The following is a 19,320-nucleotide window of genomic DNA, read 5'->3' as shown; positions in this document are numbered from 1 at the left end:
CTTAAAGGAATCCCAACTGGACTGTCTTAAAATTAGGAGCATGCACATCAATGGTTTCCTTGAAGAACAAATGTCATACGCTTTGGTAGAGATGAAATAAAAGTAAACTGACAGGTGTACTTTCTAATAATAAATTTATATTTTTGTTTAATCAACTATAGCTGCATTAATTTAAGGTCATTTAGACAAGATAATATCAAGGCAGGCCAGCTTGCATAATTCCAGCCTTTACATCGCCTTATGAATTAGGTCAATGTGCTTTCCAAAGACTGAAAGTGCTCCTTCTTCTTTTCCCTAACATTTTCCTAGTTATACAAGTTCATAGAAAATAGGCCAGACACTTTAAGGACTCAACACAAAATTTGGTTTTAGTAAAGAGCAGATACAGTAAATGTAAAGGTAAACTATCAAGCAAAATAGGCAAGTTGATGTACTGATATTAAGCTGATGACAGTAATAAATTTTAAGTTTACTGCTCATTTTAGAGGGACAAGCTAATGTACCGAACAACACTGAATACTGATATTAGTAACTATAAGCCTTCCTCAAAGGTCCTGTCAATACTAAAGGATTCATTCATCTGTGGAGTGCTTACCATTTAATGCTAAGAATGCAAGTTAAAAGTGCTTAACAACATCTAGCAAAATGACACAAACTACTAAAAGTGAAAAGAAACCCTTATGAAGGCACAAATGACTTGCACTCTTGAAACCTGATGTTGACAGGACATTTACACAAAATCCTAAACTGAATTTATATTCCAACTAAAAAATGCCATCTCCTAAAATCAATTTGGTTTTGGTGCAGAGAGAAAGCACTGGCCTTCCAGATTCAAAGTACTGCCTTTGATAGCACCTTTTTCCTTGAATCATTTTCTAAATATTTGTTCAAAAATATCTGTAGCTTGTAAAACCTGATGGGATTTTAAAAAGGATATGATCATATTGCACACTTATTAGATGTAACTGAGAATTGTGCTTTAAGTACTTTTTGCATGCACAGAAATTACTTATGAACAATCTGTTGTAGTTTGCTTTTAAAAAGATTAAACAGCACCGTTGTGGGAAATCTGCCCTTTCCTTCAGCTGAGGTGGCAATTCTCAGTGATGTGATTTTAATCACTAAGACCTGGAAGATAAAGCCATGATCAGCTACTATTAGCCAACATAAACAATTCCGTGTCAACCACTGTTAGTTACAGTAGATGTGAGGATTAAAGCTAGTAACCTAAAGATTGCTGAATCCCTACGGCCTTTTAATAAGCCTCTGAACCATCCAGTTCTCATGGCCTAGATAGGGTTATTTGGGGCTTAAGTTTGAATATGTTAACCTTATTTAAAGGATGGCATTTCAGCTGCCAAATTGAAAGACAATTGAAACACGTCACCCCAAAATCTAGTAAGCTTTCTTTTCACAGTAGTATGAGTTAGCAATTCTAAAATTACTTTCTGTGTATTCTATTCATGAGCAAATACATAAATATTTTGAGGATAATGGCAGCCAGGTTTCTTCCTGTTAAAGGAGTTATAAATATGGAAAAGGGGGAAACTAGAAAGCAGCATTTGACTAGAGTTGAAGGTATCAGTACAAATTCATGGTTTTTAGTAGCTAGAAATAAATATAAGTATTTTTGTATGTATCCGTCTGCTGAGAGGGACTACACACAATGACACACCAGTAGCAATGAGCAAACCTGGCACTCAGTAGATCTTGGTTCCTGAATACCATTCTACGTGGAAAGGAAGCAGAGCTCCTTGGAGAAATAGCCAATTGCAGGGCTAGAGTGGGAATAGTACAAGTTGAGCCTGGAACATCTTGTACCAAAAAGCAAGAAAGTCCCCAAAGAATGATGAGGACACAAGTAAAGGACATAGACATCCTGGGGTTCCCATTGGTCAAAACTGGGACAGTTAGAACATCAAAATAAGTAACAACAGTAACAATATTTGATTTGTTGACTAAGAATCCATGAGTCCATTCTGTTATAAACAAATGAAAAAATGAATGGGGGAGGAAGGAAAATGCTTTCTTTCAGTAGAATGTCAACTAATAAATATTGAGTTAGAAAGTCAGTCACTCAAGGATAGGGAGGAGGAGGTTTAAGTGTCCCATGGTAAAGCATTCAGTCTCTATAGCAGCCAGTGACATGGAAGAGCTGTTTCTCAATGGGAATACAATTCTCTGCTGCAGACGTTATCACCTTGCTCCAGAATCCCAGGGGCCTATGTTATGACTCTTCCACTGGACTTGCCATAAATTCCACACTGCATCTTTTCCCACCACTGACACACTAGGGTCTGCTGGGTCATATGATCCAAGTATCAGGGCTGCTTGCACCTGAAGCCTGGAACTGTTGCAGAGCCCTTTCCTGTTCTGGGCCCCATTCAGAGCTGGCGACCTTCCACGTCACTTGGTATATGAGGAGCTGGCTCATTACTCTTAGATGTAGAATGTGTTGCCTCCAGAACCCAAAGGGGTCTACCAAGTGCTATACTTCCTTATTGGTATAGAGGCTGTAAGACGCAGCAATTTGTCTTTCACTTCGGAGAGGATATCTCGACACTGCCCTGAGCACTGGACCTCTAAAAACTTTACTAATGTGACTGTTCTCTGAATCTTCAGTGTTTATCTCCCATCCTCTGGCATTCAGGTATCTTACCAAGGCCTTCACCATACTAGCTATCTCTTCCTCATCCTGTCCTATAAGTAGGATGTTGTCAATAAACTGGATCAGTGTGGTGTTCTGAGGGATGAGATGGTCCAGAGTTCTTCATATTATGACTGAGGGTGAGAGTTAACACAGGCTGAGGCAAAACTCAGCCTGAATATTTTTGTCTGTTCTACATGAATGTGAACTATTTCTGATCCTGTTTTCCAACTGGAATGGTATAAAATGCATTTACCAAATCAAAGATTGCATACCATGTATCTGTACTGATCTGCTCTAGCAATGAGTCCAGCACAGCAGGTGAGAGCAGGGTTATTCTTTGGTTAAGTTAGTAGAAGTCTATAGTTACCATCTAGGATCTATTCAGTTTCAAGGAGCAGCCTGCAAATTAAAAGATACGATTGGGACCACCACTCCTCCATCCTTCAGGTTTTAAATAGTGGGACTAATTTCCGTCATTCCCCCAGGATACAATATTGTGTCTGATTTACTATCTTGGCAGGAGTGGGAGGCAGTTTCAGTGTTTTACTTGGCTGTCCTAAGACAGCTTAGTCCACAGACCCAAGCACCCTTAAAATCCAATCCCAAGAGTGCTCCCCTGGTTCTTGCAAATACGTCAGCATGTCCCAGCTGGGTTATGTTGGGATTTAATCTTAGTTACTGGCTTGGCAGCCAGGAAAGGAAGTAGGGGAAGTTGGAGAAGGTGGGAGAAAGGGCTACTGCCTTGTGGCAGCAAGCTTCTGTATCTTCCAGCACAGCAGACATACTAGTTAGACCAGAAGGTCCAGAGGGAGCTGCAGGGGCATCCATCCAGACCCCATCCCATGTTCAGGATCCCAGGTTTCTCTACATTAATAGACCTGCCTATTCTAAATATTAAATGGTCCAATGTCTCTGGAGCTCTGTGACTCTTAACAATTAGCTCTTGAACCTGTGGTTCAACTGAATCTGTCCTATAGGTGATAAAGACCTCTTTGTAAGTTACCATAGAGCCTCTCATACTTAGCTATTAACTGCTTGTTAACAGTCCCATTTCTTGTTTTCCACTTGTAGTGTTTAAGTTAGCAATAACCAGCCAACTCTGCTGTCTCTGCAAGCATTTTCAAATGCCTGTATCACACTTAGCCCCATTATTTCCTTCTATTGGGACAGGGTTCCAAGTCAACACTGGTGAAATTAAGCAATTAAGCTGCAAAGTTATGTCTGGGACTATGAATGCTCCATCTACCAACTAAGGTGGCATCTTCTCAGTCAGGTAATGGATGGGACTGTTCCAATATTATCACCCCAGAAGTAGATGCCAAGATGGGACTAAATGTACAAGACTTTTTATTAGGGAAAACACCTGTGAGAGAAGATAGGGAAGGAGCTGGGAAAGAACTGGTGGACTATCACACTAGGATGCAAGTCTGACCCCAAATGTAAGAGAGCGGGAAAGAAGGTTGTGTGGAAGTGTACCAGACTGCCATGTAGCCTAAGGAAGGCTTGGCAAAGCAATGGGGATGTCCTTGAGCCTGAGCTGGCTATCAGAAGAGTCTTGGGTCTCCTAGAATCTCTATGATGCTCAGTTGCTGAACTGTGAGAAAAGCAAGGTCTTAGCACAAACATAGTGATGGATTTCACAGCATAGCAAGCAGCTGGGGCCCTTGGCCAAGTAAGCTCCCTGTAGTTGGGGGTCTGTGAGGTACATTCTCATAGCAGCAGCATCCTAGCAAGAGGCAGAGCTGGGATTCAAACCAGGTAGTTTGGTTTGAGTCTATACCCTCAACCACCGAACCAGAAGACATGTCTTGGAATTACAAGAGGTCTGAAATAAATCTATCATGCAGAAGATTTGTAAGGAGCCTGGGCCAGACTAGTAGGATCTCTAGGATCCTCTAAGAAGTTTGTATCTCATTCTACAGATAATAATGTGGGGGATACAGGGTGAGGGCACATCACAGTTAATGTATAGGACTATATTCCATATGCATTACATACATGCATGAATAATTTATAGGCCCATGTGTAGCTTTGAGTTCTCTGTGGTATAAAAGGATTAGCAGATTTGAAGACAGATGCAACAAAAAGTGATTCCTGTACTACATATATGATTGCATATACGTATTGCATATATGCAATGCTACATATATGGTAAAGTGGTCCAAAAAGTGCTGACAAAGCATTCATACCTTCCAGGGTATAAAAGTTTGAAAAAAAGGACCAAGACAAATTCATTTTCTATAACTCTTTACAAAATCATACTGTGGTACAAGGCAATCAAAAATTCATTGAATTTTTGCTATTTAAAAAATTTCATTAATTTATTTATTTATGGTTTTGAGATAGGAAGTCTCACCCTGTTTCCTAGGCTGGTCTTGAACTCTTGGGTTCAAGGGATCCTCCTGCCTCGGCCTCCCAAGGTGCTGAGACTACAGGCGTGAGCCACCATGTCTGGCCACTATTTACTACCAGTATTAAAATTTCTACCATTTTTACACAGAGGCACTATTTCCACTTAGGCTGTGTGTCAAATCTGCATTTACAGGCTAAGTGAGGAACTTAGCTACTATTTATAGTATTAATTACATGATAATCTGTGTAAGCTCCCAACAATCATCTTACAAATGAATTCTACAGAATACAACCTTTTTATTATCAAAAGGAAGTTACATGTTTATTAATTAGTATCACAATAAACAGGTATTATTAATACTATTTTATGGATATAGGAATCTAGGCACAAAAATAAAGTTTCCTTGACCCACATAATGAGATAAAATATGAACCCAGAACTAGAGATTACATCAGATTCCTATACACCTATATTCATTAACAGTACAACTCTACAACTGTGGCATAGTCCTACAACAGAATATTAAAACCTAGAGATAAAAAAAAAAATAAAAAAAAATTGGTCCAACTTTCTGTCTGAAGGCAGGAATTATTATTATCTGCTTATTACAGAGAGTGGAGAATTAGTTGGTCAAGGGCAAATCTAAAAATTTAGGAAAACTTCAAATTCAAAGCCTCCAGAAACTCATCAAACTTGCCAGTATTACTTACCCTACTTCAAGAAGACATATATGAAACAGAATGGAGTTTCTGATTTCAGATTGCTCTACTTCCTTACTTTAAGCCAGGAAGCCTAAAAACATAAACTGAACTCAGCAGATGCAACTAAAAATTTGGGACCAGGATGTCTTTAAGTGAGGGACCAGGATGTGTAACTGATGGTTTAGGAAACTATATTTATAGCCTGGTATCATTAAATTTTTGTTCACTTTTTAAAGTAGATTCCAAATATACACATTATACTCTGAAAGCTTTTTAAAGACACAAACTAGCTTTTAGAATTAGACTTTGGGATGCAATTCCAAATGATTTCTTACGTTCCACAGTTCTGAATGAGAACTAATGGTTCTGAATAGTTATGAGATTTAAAAATAAACATAAAAATTTGGATCAATGGGAGAATTTTACTTGTAACTACCTGTTAACATATCAGGGGTCTCTATGTAAACTTCTGAGATTCAAACACTTTACCTACAGGCAACCTGTACCCCACATTATTTCACAAAGGATTGCGATGTCTTCCTACGTGAACATATACAATAATGATAAAGGATATCTGTTCTAGGAAAAGCATATTTAAAAAGAAATGCAAGTATGCAGGTTAGGATGACCGTTAAACGTGCATTTCAAATTTGGCTTGAGCTTCCTGACAAAATTTTCACTATCAAAAAGTGGCTTCCGAAACTATTCTAAGAATCACTTACTAATATATCTTACATGGGACTTTATATAAAGGACACTGAGGCTGGGTGTGGTGGCTCACGCCTGTAATCCAAGCACTTTGGGAGGCTGAGGCAGGAGGATTGTTTGAGGCCAGGAGTTTGAGACCAGCCCTGGCAACACAGCAAGACCCCATCTCTAATAAAATTAAAAAATAAAAAAGTAAAAGGGCACAATATGACACAGAGGACAATACCCTTGACAACATCATATTGCAAATGCAGTTAAAAATTTTTGCATGGTTACTTTAAGCAGTTAGCTTAGGTGAAGGTAGAAGGTCTAAATTAAAATGCTACTTGGTGAAGGCAATCGTGCTAGGGGCTGCTTTTGCAATACAAAGCTTTTACACTGAAGGCTTCTTAAACGTGAATTAGTCTTCCCAATGGGATAGCAATTCTAATTTAATGGCTAGGAGAACCCAGTACAGAAATAAAAAGTTACTTGACATAGCTAAAAATCATATAGGGACAGGCCTAATATTTGATCCTCTAGTTTCAGCCAGAAAGTTTAGGGTCTCTTACGATTTTAGCAGGACTACAACCCAAGGCTTCAGATTTACTGGACATTTTACTCCTCCAAAAGGATGGCTGCTAACTACAGGGAATTAGTTTGCAGCATGTACATGTATGGTGGCATTCTGGAGATTAAGCATTGTAAATATGAAGTCTTGGAGTTAAAAAAGCACACATCCAATTTTCAGTATTATGTCAACAAATATAAACTACCCAAAACAGCAATATATAATCACCTATATTGACTACGCTCAAAAAACACACTGAATTGGTTTTAAAATGGCAATGGCCATGGGTAGCAAGGAATTATCAACAACAGAAGCACCTGCTATCTAATCTTTCTCCCACAATCTGCGTTTGGAATCACAGGCTGGAAAGTATCTAGTGAGGGCATCTAGTCTGCGTATACACTCTTATCCCATTTTCAAAGATCTCTATTTAGATCTCTAGTCTAGCTTGCTCTTATCTTAAATCGTAGCACCTACGGCCTAGGACTAATTCTTTTTATCAATGAAAATGATGAATCACGACTTTCCTGTAAATACTTTTACGAAGTTGGAAATCATTAAGTAACTAGTCTTCTCTCATTAACACGATAACTACAATTATTTTAACCTTTCCCAAAACATCTTACTAATCTTTTAGACCTCTTCCTACTAGGGTATCTCACCACTTTCAAAACATACTTCAACAGTTTGGCACTTTACTATGAGCTTCACAAATATCCAGGATTTAAATTATTTCATAATTCCTTCAAACATTCTCAGTTTTATTTGTAAGCAACAATGCTACATCGTGAAATCAATTATTTAAAACAATGTTCTAGGTATTGGGGTAACCGACCTCATATAGCTTACATTCTAGTGGAAAAAATAGACAGTGAACCAGTAAACAAGGTATCAGATTGAGGTAAAAGCTGTGGAGAAAAAAAATGTTATGGGGGTGGAGAAGCCTTTTGTAATAGGTAGCACTTCATTTGAAACCTCTAGGAAGGCAGTAGCCCTGCAAACATATGAAAAGAACGTTTTAAGCAATTTTTGGCTAATGAAAGTTTAACGAGTAATCTGCTATATATTTATATGCATTCCTTCCAAATTATATAACCTTGTACTGCTCCCTATTGAATTTTATTGTTCTTATTTTGAAGACTAATTCTATCCTTTTTTTTTTTTTTTTTGAGACGGAGTCTCACCCTGTCACCCAGGCTGAAGTGCAGTGGCGCGATCTCGGCTCACTGCAAGCTCCGCCTCCCGGGTTCAAGTGATTCTCCTGCCTCAGCCTCCTGAGTAGCTGGGACTACAGGCACCCACCACCACGCCTGGCTAATTTTTTGTGTTTTTAGTCCACGCCCGGCTAATTTTTTTGTATTTTTAGTAGAGACGGGGTTTCACCATGTTAGCCAGGATGGTCTCGATCTCCTGACCTCTTGATCCACCCACCTTAGCCTCCCAAAGTGCTGGGATTACAGGCGTGAGCCACCGCACCCGGCCTCTATCTTTTATAAGCTTTTCATTATCTCCTTTAATTGGTGTATTCCAAAGTTTGAGACGCATGCCTTCTAATTTAAACAAGCATTTCTTAATAATATTAACTAACAGTTTAGGAGGTGTTTCTGCCAAACAACATTTAATAATGGTTGGAAAAATACTAACTGAAACAACTTATAGGATAGGCCTAAATGAGTTTTCCAGAAAACAATTTGGTCACACTTTGCAGGGAAAATAGGCTGAAACAGGCAGAGTATGACCCATTCAGAAGATGAGGCTAATGGGACCATGAACCACCGATGGGTTGGTCTAATAGCAGTGAAAGAGCCCAACAGAGAATTGAGAGGTTTATAATGTCATGTATGTGGGATGAAGAAGCCGATCAACTGGCAAGGTTGGAGAAAACCTTCCCCAGCACATTGGCTCTCTGAGACATGCTGCCACCACCTGGGCAATAGGCAATTTTGAAGTTTGGGGGGATTTTAGTTATTATCTGTTAACAATTATAGAATCAAAAAACATACTTTCATATTATAAAATCAGCATTTTTTGTCAAGAAAAATGAAAGACAAAAAACGCTGATTTCATAGAATGAAAGCATGTTTTTTGATTCTACAATGGTTTTGTTTTTCGATTAAAAAAGAGCAGAGATTTTGGCCAGATATACTTAAAATTCCTGCTTTATTTTTAAAGTCTCTGGTTCCCTATCTGTAAAATTAGTATAAAAATACAATCCTGTGGTGTTGTTTAGTTTCAGGATTAGTGATAATAAGTGTGAAGCACCTAGCCCAGCACCTGGTACATACTAAGTACTCAATAAGTAACTTTTTTTTTTTTTTTGAGATGGAGTTTTGCTCTTGTTGCCCAGGCTGCCAGGCTGGAGTGCGGTGGCGCGATCTCGGCTCACGGCAACCTCTGCCTCCTGGGTTCAAGCAATTCTCCTGCCTCAGCCTCCCGGGCAGCTGAGATTACAGGCATGCGCCACCATGCCTGGCTAATTTTGTATTTTCAGTAGAGACGGGGTTTCTCCATGTTGGTCAGGCTGATCTCGAACTCCTGACCTCAGGTGATCCACCAGCCTCGGCCTCCCAAAGAGCTGGAATAAGTAGCTTTTTTTTTTTTTTGAGATGGAGTTTCGCTCTTGTTGCCTAGGCAGGAGTGCAATGGCATGATCTCTGTTTGCTGCAACCTCCACCTCCTGGGTTCAAACAATTCTCCTGCCTCAGCCTGCCAAGTAGCTGGGATTACAGGCATGTGCCACCACGCCCAGCTAATTTTTTAATTTTAGTGGAGACGGGTTTCACCAAGTTCATCAGGCTGGTCTCGAACTCCTGACCTCAGGTGATCCACCTGCTTCTGCTTCACAAAGGGCTGGGATTACAGGCATGAGCCAATGTGCCTGGCCACAATAAGTAGCTTTAAAAAAAATTATTCTTCTGTATAAACTTTCAAATATCACTAAAATCTGATTATGCTAAAAAAAAAAAAATCACTGCCTGGGCACAGTGGCTCAGGCCTGTAATCCCAGCACTTTGGGAGGCTGAGGCGGGCAAATCACCCGACATCAGGAGTTTGAGACCAGCCTGTCCAATATGGTAAAAACCCATCCCTACAAAAAATACAAAAATTAGCTGGGCATGATGGTGCACGCCTGTAGTCCCAACTACTCGGGAGGCTGAGGCAGGAGAATCACTTGAACCTGGGAGGTGGAGGCTGCAGTGAGCTGAGATCGCACTACTGCACTCTAGCCTGGGCAAGAGAGCGAGACTCTGCCTCAAAATAAATAAATAAATAAAAATAAATAAATATTACATAAATGTGCCTATTAAGAAATGTTTTGCATTATGTTTCAATGGAAGTAAAAAACCTCACAAAATAAAATTTAGGGAAGAAACCAATTCCATCAAAGTAAGATGCAGGTAAGAGAACTCTCAAAGTCTTTTAGACACACTCAATTGTTATTATTAAACTATATTATTATCTTAATATTATCTGAATCTTATTCTGGTTTCACTACTTACAACTTTGACATGGGTTAGAATGAGATATAATTTTGCACCAATCAAGGGAAAAATACTTTTTAAGAAAAAAAATGGCATGGGACTGCCACAGGACTTCCATTCTCAATAGACAAAAGAATTTTATAAGGCTCTACTTATAAAATATAATTGCAATAGAGTACACTAGTGCTGAAGAGGCTGGTGGTGTGATATACTACACAGGAATTATCTTATGCAAAGGCAGGCCCTATTTCATTAACAGCATCAGGTTTAGTTAGTTTGGCTAAACTTACATGAATAATATTTTATTTCTTAAAAGTAAATAAAGCAGACCTTATTTCCTTGTTATTCTAAATTCGTATTCTGACAGACATTTGAGAGAATAAAAACCTGATTAAGGATCTTTTCAAACAAAGAAATAAGATCTTGTCCTGGAACAGTGGCTCACACCTGTAGTGCCAGCACTTTGAAAGACAAAGGCAGGAGGATCACTTCAGGCAAGGAGTTTGGGACCAGCCTGGGCAACAGAGTGAAACCCTGCCTCTAGAAAAAAATTTTTAAAAATTAGTTGGGCATAGTGGCATGCATCTGTAGTCCCAGCTACTCTAGAGGCTGAGGTGGGAGGATCGCTTGAGCCCAGGCAGTCAAGGCTGCAGTGAGCAGTGATGGACCCACTGCACCCCAGCGTGGGTGACTTAGTGAGACCCTGTCTCAAAAAAAAAAAAAAAAAAAATCACTGAAACTCATTCTCTCTAGTTGGGCTTGACTTAGAACTGAATACATTAAGCAGAAAATTAACACTGGTCATAGGTTTAAAAAATAATGAGTATGCTAAGCTGGGCATGGTGGCTTGTGGCTGTAGTCCCAGCTATTCAGAAGGTGAGGAGTGAGGATCCCTTGAGCCCAGGAGTTCGAAGAGGCAGTGGGCTATGATCGCACCACTGCATTCCAGCTGGGCCAGAGCAAGACCGTGTTTAAAAAAAAAAAAAAAAAAAAAGGCCAGGCGCGGTGGTGGCTCACGCCTGTAATCCCAGCACTTTGGGAGGCCGAGGCGGGTGGATCACGAGGTCAAGAAATCGAGACCATCCTGGCCAAATGGTGAAACCCCATCTATACTAAAAATACAAAAATTAGCTGGGCGTGGTGATGCCCGCCTGTAGTCCCAAGTACTCAGAAGGCTGAGGCAGGAGAATCGCTTGAACCTGGGAGGTGGAGGGTGCAGTGAGCCAAGATCGCAGCACTGCACTCCAGCCCTGGTGACAGAGACTCCGTCTCAAAATTAAAAAAAAAAAAAAAAAAAAAGACCTTAAGAAAACTTGCAATAATGTTTCTATCAAATACCTTACTATGCTATTTATTTAAGAAAAATGACCAAATCCAGTCCAATTTACAGATTTTAAAGCTGAAAGGGCATTGGAGATTGCCTAGTATGCTTTCCACATATCTAAGTGGAAACACACTCAGAGTGATTTATCAGAGTATACATAACATTACTGTACCACAACTGTGAATCTCAGTTCACGAGCTCAGACTTCTCTTTATGGAAAGTAGTTCACAGTATTTGAATCAATCCTGACACCACCTTTAGTTAAGGCAATGCAGACTGCAGTAAGGAGCTCCACTGTGGCAACCCCTATGCTGTTCCTGGTCTTGCAGACTGTCCTGTAACTTGAAGCTAGATGAGCAAACTTAGATTGTAAAGGCATGGTCTAGATCAGCAGTCTCCAACCTTAATGGCATCCAGGACTGGTTTCGTGGAAAACAATTTTTCCATGGACGGGGATGGGGGATGCTTTCAGGATGAAGCTGTTCCACCTCAGATCATCAGGCATTAGATTATCATAAGGAGCGCACAACCTAGATCCCTCGCACATGCAGTTCACATTACGGTTCGCACCATGAGAATCTAATGATGCTGCTGATCTGACAGGAGGCGGAACTTAGACGGAAATGCTCACTCACCCATCGCTCACCTCCTGCTGTGCGGCCCCGTTCCTAACAGGCTGCAAACCAGGTACCAGTCCGTCGTTGGGGACCCCTGGTCTAGATTACAGCTAAAGAACTACAAAGGCTTTCTCTTTATATGCCCTTCCTTCCTGCCCAAGACTTCTGGGCTTTTAACTAGGGATGCAGCACTGCAAGTATCCGGAGGCAGTAACTGGGAAAACCACCTATCATGATTAAAATAAAACACGCATTGGCCTCTGGAACGAAGGATGTTAAAATAATACATTCTGCCCACATCTTGGATTCAAGACTTGGGGAAGTTTTAGAAAAATCAGTTATCTCAAGTAAGTATTCAGTGCACACAATCCAGTGACTGAGTCTACTTTTTCTGGCTACTAAGGTACAGGCTAGGCCTAAGCAGCATAGGCTTTGAAACTATCATCCAGGTTTTCAAATAAAAAGGAGTAAGAAAACAACTGCTGGTAATACAACATTACAAACATTAACATATGCCCAACGAACAGTATCGTAGATCGTTAGATTATCTGCCAAAAGCCTGTTCCCTGGTAAATAACAGTTATTGTTGTTTTACCTAAACTAGTTAAACATGTCGCAGCTTGCTCCTGAAAGAGAACATTCTATAGTCTTTGGAGAATCAGTGAAGAGGTCTTGCAACATTTGTCAGAGGTAGTCAAACAGTGCAAGCAATCACAAAATTTGGTCACCAACCAAACCAGATTAGCTAATCTTTCAGTTCCTGTAGATTAGAAGACAATATTAACTCACCCTTTCTGCATGTTGACTTTTGCATCCCTTTATTTGTGTATTGAAAGAACAAGCACCTCTATGGGAACTCTATGCCCTGACAGTTTAATTACTTATCAAGTTTACTCTGGGCCGGTATTGATCATTCTTTCGTGAAACGAATTAGATACTTAAATTAAAAACAAACAACAAAACCCCCCTTTTCACATAGCATGGCGGCATGTCCCTTGGTAACAAGGTTGAGTGGATCCACCAAGGCCCAGTAGCTTGCCTCCTTTTCGTAAGGATGTAACTATTGTCCAACCAGAAGAGAGAGGCATGGAGTGGGATGTGCACCAGGATGAACTCGCCGGAATCGTCAAGAGTCGTTGTGTGACCCTCACCTTGACTTCGGGCGTTTTGTGGGGACCCAACTGCTTTCTTGCCGCTGCTCTTTGGTCTGAGTTTCCCTCAGCCAAACACTTCACCCACCCATGACCCTCCAACTGTCCCGCTACAGCAGGGGATGGGGGTTGTCTTCCGATCGACCTCGGGGGGCAAAGGCAAAAGTCCCTAGCTGCTTCGGAACCGCTCCTCGAGTCCTGAAGCCGCTCCACGCCTCCTCGCCCACCACTTGGTCCCCGCAGGACGTGGCAGTCTCGGGCTCCAGCCTGGAAAGGAGCCCGCCCGGGTGCCGTCACCCGCCCCGCGCGGCCTCACCTGCCGCTCCCCGGAAATCTCAGCGCTGCCCTGCCCCCGCCCCCACCCTCCCGCGTCCTCCAACTCGAGGTCCCAAGACCCACACAGCAATGGCGCAGCCGGAAACTGGGCCCTAGACTTACTCACGCCCGGCTGGCGGCTCGGGTCGCCTGTGGGCGGGACGCAAAGGCCGCGACTTCCGCCTTCCTGCTTCCGGTCTGGCGGTGAGTGGGGAGTGGGATCCGATCCCGTGGGGCTATGTAGGGGAAGTTGGTGGCTGCAGCTGCCGTGGTTTTCTCCTGGTGTCCAGCAGAAACGGCGGCGGCGCAAGGTGTGGCTGGGCCAACCCAGGATCTCCCAGGACCCTCCGCTCTGCGCGACAAGGGGCCCGCGCTTGCCAAGGCCGACGGGCAGGAGTGAACGTGGCCTCCGTGGGTCTGCAGCCCCGATAGGGTAAGGAGGGAAGAGTGAGCAAGGGAGAAACGTAAGGAATAAGGGAAAGACAAAGGAGGAAGTGCGGACGGCCGTCAAGTGCTACCCGTTGCAGCCGCAGGGGCCACGCGGGTCTGGTTGGGAGATCGAGCCTGGTCGATCCGTTTTGGGCGGAAGAGTAGGATTTATTCCTGAAAGTGTGGAGGCGCGAGCGTTTGGGTCCGAAGTTGAGTTGCAGGGAGATGTGTGGCCTGTGGACCATGGCTCTTTTACTGCAAAGTTCTTTTGCTTATTTCTGAAACTTACATTGTTTATTCGCTACTGGGCTGGAGAAGGTGAAGGCAGATCGATCTCAGTAGTACCTAATTCTAACTGTATGGGTGAGGTCGTATGAAGTCCAGGAGCTAAGATATTTAACGTATTAGGCACTTTCATGTGTGTTCAGTTGAAAATCGTGGGGAAGATATAATTAAAACTAGTCACAGTTTTCTTGGGGTAATGGGACTGTGGGTGAATTACTATAATTTGTTTGGTTATGTCTTCTAATTTTTTAAGTAAAGGACACAAATTGTATGATGGACCCAAAAAAACCTTTATAAAGAGTAAGATGAGCTGTTTGATTTTGTAGTGGTGTACCTAATCCAGTAAATAAATGAGTGGCAACATTTTTAGTATAAAAATTGAAAATCTAGGAACGGATACGCTGTGTAAGTCAGTCAGTGAGCCAACTTGTCTCCCGTATGTCAATGAACTAAAAAAATTTTATTATTGAAATAAGTAACTTAGTAAAATACTTGATTTCCAGTAATTAGGATTTTCTTACAGGGCATTTGCAATTGTAAATTCAAATGAGGAAGAAACGTATTAAGTTACTATACCGGATAGGCAATTTTAGATGTCATATAGGTTGCATATATACAATATAGAAATTTTCCATTTAAAATTTTATTACAATTATCCTGAAATTGTGACTTAAATTTTGTTTTATTTTTTGTATTCTTTCCAACTAGCCAATTGTACAGAATTTAAACCGTCTCTCAGATGTGTACAGTAGAACTCAAGAAGACAGACTACCAAGGGTCATCTGAAGTCGTGATTGGGTCACTAATAACACCAGGACAAAGTTAAGGGATCACTACTCAAGCATAAGGTAGATGATTTTTTTAAAAAAATTCCAGTTGAAATTGTAAGTGGATGTATATACACTCATTCCCTACCCAGGTATTCTAATTCTCCACTTTGAATAGCGGTTGACACAAACATGAAAGGGAGAAAAGCCTCTGGGGCAAAATAGAAAACGTCACTCAAGTCACATAATCCTCATTTGCCAGTTGCCTTTTCCTTACACTCAAAAAGGAACAAAACACATGGCATCTGTTAAGGCTACTTTCTCATTTATTAAATTAGGCTTATTCCAACAGAGGTCCTCAAAGCTGAAAGGGCATAAAATAGCACAGTACTTTTTGCTTCTTTGGCATATTAATGCGATGTCATGACTCCCTTACCCTCTCCTTCCCATTCGGGGAAATAGTCATCTCTCCTTCTCTGCGAGCATTTCACATGCTCTGTTGCTTGTCCTTTTCAAACACCAAATTTGCTGATTTGTATTTTTGTTAATTAGTAATACTAAGGATATGTCAAAAAATGACAAACTGTATTCAGCTGTTTCCTGGAATGACCACAGAAAACTCAAGATTTTTATAAAAGCCTCCTCCTAAATAAAGTTTGTCTTGAATATAGGAGGCATGTGAGAATGCATAGTCCTTATGACAGAGTCACATGGCTTTTTTAAATCTTCTATAACTTTACCTCTTTGAAGTGTCACTATTCTGGCTGTACTAGATGAATTACTTTTTCCTAACCAGAGATACTAGTCCTTATTACAATAGTACTAAGTTGTACTTTTTAAAAAAGCAAACTGAGTGATAATGGAATCCTGAGTTAACTGGTTGTGTGAGGAAACTTTTTCAAAATTTGATTAACCACATAGTCTTTTCTCCTGTTTTTTTCCTCTGTGTTCTCCACCCGCCTCCCCCAGCCCCAGTTTTCATAAGACTGCTGTGAAGATGTTTGATATAAAGGCTTGGGCTGAGTATGTTGTGGAATGGGCTGCAAAGGACCCCTATGGCTTCCTTACAACCGTTATTTTGGCCCTTACTCCACTGTTCCTAGCAAGTGCTGTACTGTCTTGGAAATTGGCCAAGATGATTGAGGCCAGGGAGAAGGAGCAAAAGAAGAAGCAAAAACGCCAAGAAAACATTGCAAAAGCTAAACGACTAAAAAAGGATTGAAGGACTGAACAGGCTTTGCAACCAGAGGAAAATCATTTGGAAAATTACACAGCTTTGGAAGAATCCACTAAAGTTTCTTCTTTGGATTTCTTGACAGTATGATTTAGTAAATGAAATTTGACCAAATGGAAGAATCATGTTAGTTCTGACCTCAATACTATAGTAACTTTTAGGCGTGGGTGTAGAAGTTTATAGGTTTCTATTGACAGTTATTGTAAATTAGCATTTACTGTGGTACAAATTCTTTATAACTGACTTAGTCATTTGCCGCTTAGCAGTTTATATACTGAAATGAAAACATCTTGTGGGGAAAAGTGACTTTAGATTATGAACTCAATTCAAATGAACTCTATTTAAAATGGGGTCCTATTTTGGACAAAGGAAATTAAGAATGTAAAAGTCAGAACAGTCTTGAGGTAAAAAGTGTGCTTTGGCTTAAAAGGGATACAGTATATTAATTACATCTTTTATTATTATTGTTTATTTCTTAGAATCATTTCTGGCTTTCTCAAAACAAAATAATATTAATGAGTACTTCTATTTGCTGCATTTTTCTTATTACAGCCTTTGAGACAGCTGGTAATTATAAGTCATTTTCCATTTTTTAAAACATAATTTTATAAAGAATTCTCTTATCTCGACTATGTAGAATACCACCTACTGGACAGAACAATTTTTGTACTCACAAACACTGCCATTTTCTTAGAGATGGCTTGAGAGGAGTAACACTATGGTTTAAAGCTTGCAGTAAAAATGCCAAACACTGTAGTACCTTGGAACCCAGTTTATTCTTGTGCTAAGCAGAACTGTAAAATAGTTAAAATGTCTTATCAAGTAATTCGCCGATTACAAAGACACCATTTGTTTTTTATTTCATTCTTTGTTTTAACTCATGTGGTAGTGATATTTAATACTTTCTGATCAAACAGGTTCAAAGTAAAACGTTAAATTTCACATTTCTTTTAAAGAACTCTTAAAGTGTAACAGTTACGCCATACTTCATAAGTGGTAAAGAAAGGTATAAAATTTGGAAACATTTTGTTGGGCATAGTAGTGATTGGGTGAAAAGGATAAATTATATCAAAATGAGAATGTGCTGTAATTGGAAGTAGGGAGCTAAAGGATGTTTCTTTCAGTTTAGTAGAACTGGAACGTTTTACTATTAAACATGGCTTTTATAAATGCATGGTCCAATAATTTTATTCACTGTTAGTATTTAATTCACTGTCAGCTTATTAATGTTTTCTGTACCCATTAATGAATTTTAAATTACAAAAAATTGTCTAGCAGCTACAGTTTAAAAATGAAACTAGACATTAAAATAAATTTGATAATTTTTTATAAAGAGGTCCTGGATTTTTTTTTTTTTTTTGGAGGAACTAACATTTTAAGTTACATTATGTTATGCAAGTTAGAATTTCAGTTACAGCTAAGCATACTTGTAAAATTTCAGGACTGTATCTCTCAGAACCTAAGGACCACTGAGAATGTTTATGGACCAGTTTGAATAACACTTAATGCTATTCTTTTAGATTATCAGTCTCTACTTGGTGCCAGTGTGAGCAACACATTATAACTCAAGGCACTGAAATTATTCAGTGTTAAGATATATCTATAATATGTTTGGTTTTCTGCAATCAAGCTGTTCATGGAAAGAATTTATGTACATGTTTTACTTAGGGTCACATTTTAGAGTAAAAGTATTGAAGCAAAGGATATAGTCATAATTCTCAGTTACCTACTAAAGTTATGGTTTCATCAGTTCTGTTGTAACAACTTAAAGGTATTTAAAGGTCTGTTTTTCTATAATTTATTAGTCTTAACACATGCCAGTTTTGTATTTGTTTGACATATGCTTTTTTTTTCCACTTTTTTCCATCATTTAGAGAGCCTTTCTATATATGTGAGATTCATACTTTACAGTGTGTGTGTGTGTGTGTGTGTGTGTGTGTGTGTAAGGGGCTGGAGTATAGAGAATATTGTGAGGTTTGGGATTCTTCAGAAAAATCACCTCTCACTGCAACAGAGTACTGTTGTTAAAGAATCCCATTTGCTATTATCTAGAATACTTTTAAGAAATTGTTTACTTATTACATTGTTTCTGAAGTTCTGAGAACTAAGTACAATCAATTACCATTCTAAAGCTGGTCTTGGGGGAGAAAGAAAGCTGTCCCCTGGCTGCCTCTAACAAACATTTTATCAAAAATCAGCAAATAAATAAAAGTTTGTATGTCAGAACTTGAGCCATAGTATCCATGATAACTTTCAGCATATTACTAGTTATCAGATATATAAGGACATTTTAAATTTTACTTGTTTATAATAAGCAAACTAGAAATAAGCACAGGAGGCCGGGTGCGGTGGCTCATGTCTGTAATCCCATCACTTTGGGAGGCCAAGGCAGGCAGATCACAAGGTCAGGAGTTCAAGACCAGCCTGGCCAACATGATGAAACCCCGTCTCTACTAAAAATACAAAAATTAGCTGGGTATGGTGGCGTGCACCTGTAATCCCAGTTACTGGGGAGGCTGAGGCAGGAGAATTGCTTGAACCCAGGAGGTAGAGGTTGCAGTGAGCCAAGATCATGCTACTGCACTCCAGCCTGGCGACAGAGCAAGGCTCTGTCTCAAAAAAAAGCACAGGAAGCTGTGGGCTGGAAACCTAATGTTGAAATAGACCTTATATTTTATATGGTTCTAAGTTGGAGGCAATTTGATCCTATTTAGGAATGATTGCTTTTATATTTGCTACTGGTTATAGAATCAT

At 39.9% G+C, this 19,320-nt stretch overlaps 1 protein-coding gene and 1 long non-coding RNA gene across 2 annotated transcripts in view, besides 6 other annotated features; one reads left to right on the top strand and one right to left on the bottom strand.

The window, feature by feature from the left end:
- SMIM15-AS1 (SMIM15 antisense RNA 1) overlaps positions 1–14,185 on the bottom strand; it is a 69,765-nt gene extending 55,580 nt beyond the window's left edge. The window contains exon 1 of the long non-coding RNA NR_109908.1: positions 13,975–14,185. This is a non-coding gene — a long non-coding RNA (SMIM15 antisense RNA 1). The remainder of the gene's footprint in view (positions 1–13,974) is intronic.
- Positions 13,345–13,404: an enhancer, noted in NCBI's record as "active region_22592". NCBI's record gives its function as "activates an Ori minimal core promoter by ATAC-STARR-seq in GM12878 lymphoblastoid cells {active_cell/tissue: GM12878}" and the evidence as "EXISTENCE:reporter gene assay evidence [ECO:0000049][PMID:35858748]".
- Positions 13,445–13,544: an enhancer, noted in NCBI's record as "active region_22591". NCBI's record gives its function as "activates an Ori minimal core promoter by ATAC-STARR-seq in GM12878 lymphoblastoid cells {active_cell/tissue: GM12878}" and the evidence as "EXISTENCE:reporter gene assay evidence [ECO:0000049][PMID:35858748]".
- Positions 13,785–13,894: a silencer, noted in NCBI's record as "silent region_16043". NCBI's record gives its function as "represses an Ori minimal core promoter by ATAC-STARR-seq in GM12878 lymphoblastoid cells {active_cell/tissue: GM12878}" and the evidence as "EXISTENCE:reporter gene assay evidence [ECO:0000049][PMID:35858748]".
- Positions 13,970–14,866: an enhancer, noted in NCBI's record as "NANOG-H3K27ac-H3K4me1 hESC enhancer chr5:60457462-60458358 (GRCh37/hg19 assembly coordinates)". NCBI's record gives its function as "activates a minimal SCP1, AML or CMV promoter by ChIP-STARR-seq in naive H9 embryonic stem cells {active_cell/tissue: H9 hESC(naive)}" and the evidence as "EXISTENCE:reporter gene assay evidence [ECO:0000049][PMID:30033119]".
- Positions 14,033–18,797, top strand: SMIM15 (small integral membrane protein 15). Its single transcript, NM_001048249.4, has 3 exons — positions 14,033–14,284; positions 15,274–15,413; positions 16,302–18,797. Exon 3 carries the CDS (start codon positions 16,330–16,332, stop codon positions 16,552–16,554), a length of 225 nt encoding a protein of 74 aa, NP_001041714.1. The 5' UTR covers positions 14,033–14,284; positions 15,274–15,413; positions 16,302–16,329; the 3' UTR covers positions 16,555–18,797.
- Positions 14,075–14,334: an enhancer, noted in NCBI's record as "active region_22590". NCBI's record gives its function as "activates an Ori minimal core promoter by ATAC-STARR-seq in GM12878 lymphoblastoid cells {active_cell/tissue: GM12878}" and the evidence as "EXISTENCE:reporter gene assay evidence [ECO:0000049][PMID:35858748]".
- Positions 14,405–14,484: an enhancer, noted in NCBI's record as "active region_22589". NCBI's record gives its function as "activates an Ori minimal core promoter by ATAC-STARR-seq in GM12878 lymphoblastoid cells {active_cell/tissue: GM12878}" and the evidence as "EXISTENCE:reporter gene assay evidence [ECO:0000049][PMID:35858748]".
- Positions 18,798–19,320: the final 523 nt, after the last annotated feature.

This window comes from Homo sapiens, chromosome 5, assembly GCF_000001405.40.
Source record: "Homo sapiens chromosome 5, GRCh38.p14 Primary Assembly".
NCBI classification, from domain to species: Eukaryota; Metazoa; Chordata; class Mammalia; order Primates; family Hominidae; genus Homo; species Homo sapiens.
The sequence above is the reverse complement of the archived record's forward strand: the minus strand, read 5'-3'. Positions and strand labels throughout refer to the sequence as shown.

Excerpts from the sequence above, each read along its gene's own strand:
- SMIM15 (NM_001048249.4), top strand. The coding sequence starts at position 16,330 with ATGTTTGATATAAAGGCTTGGGCTGAGTATGTTGTGGAATGGGCTGCA.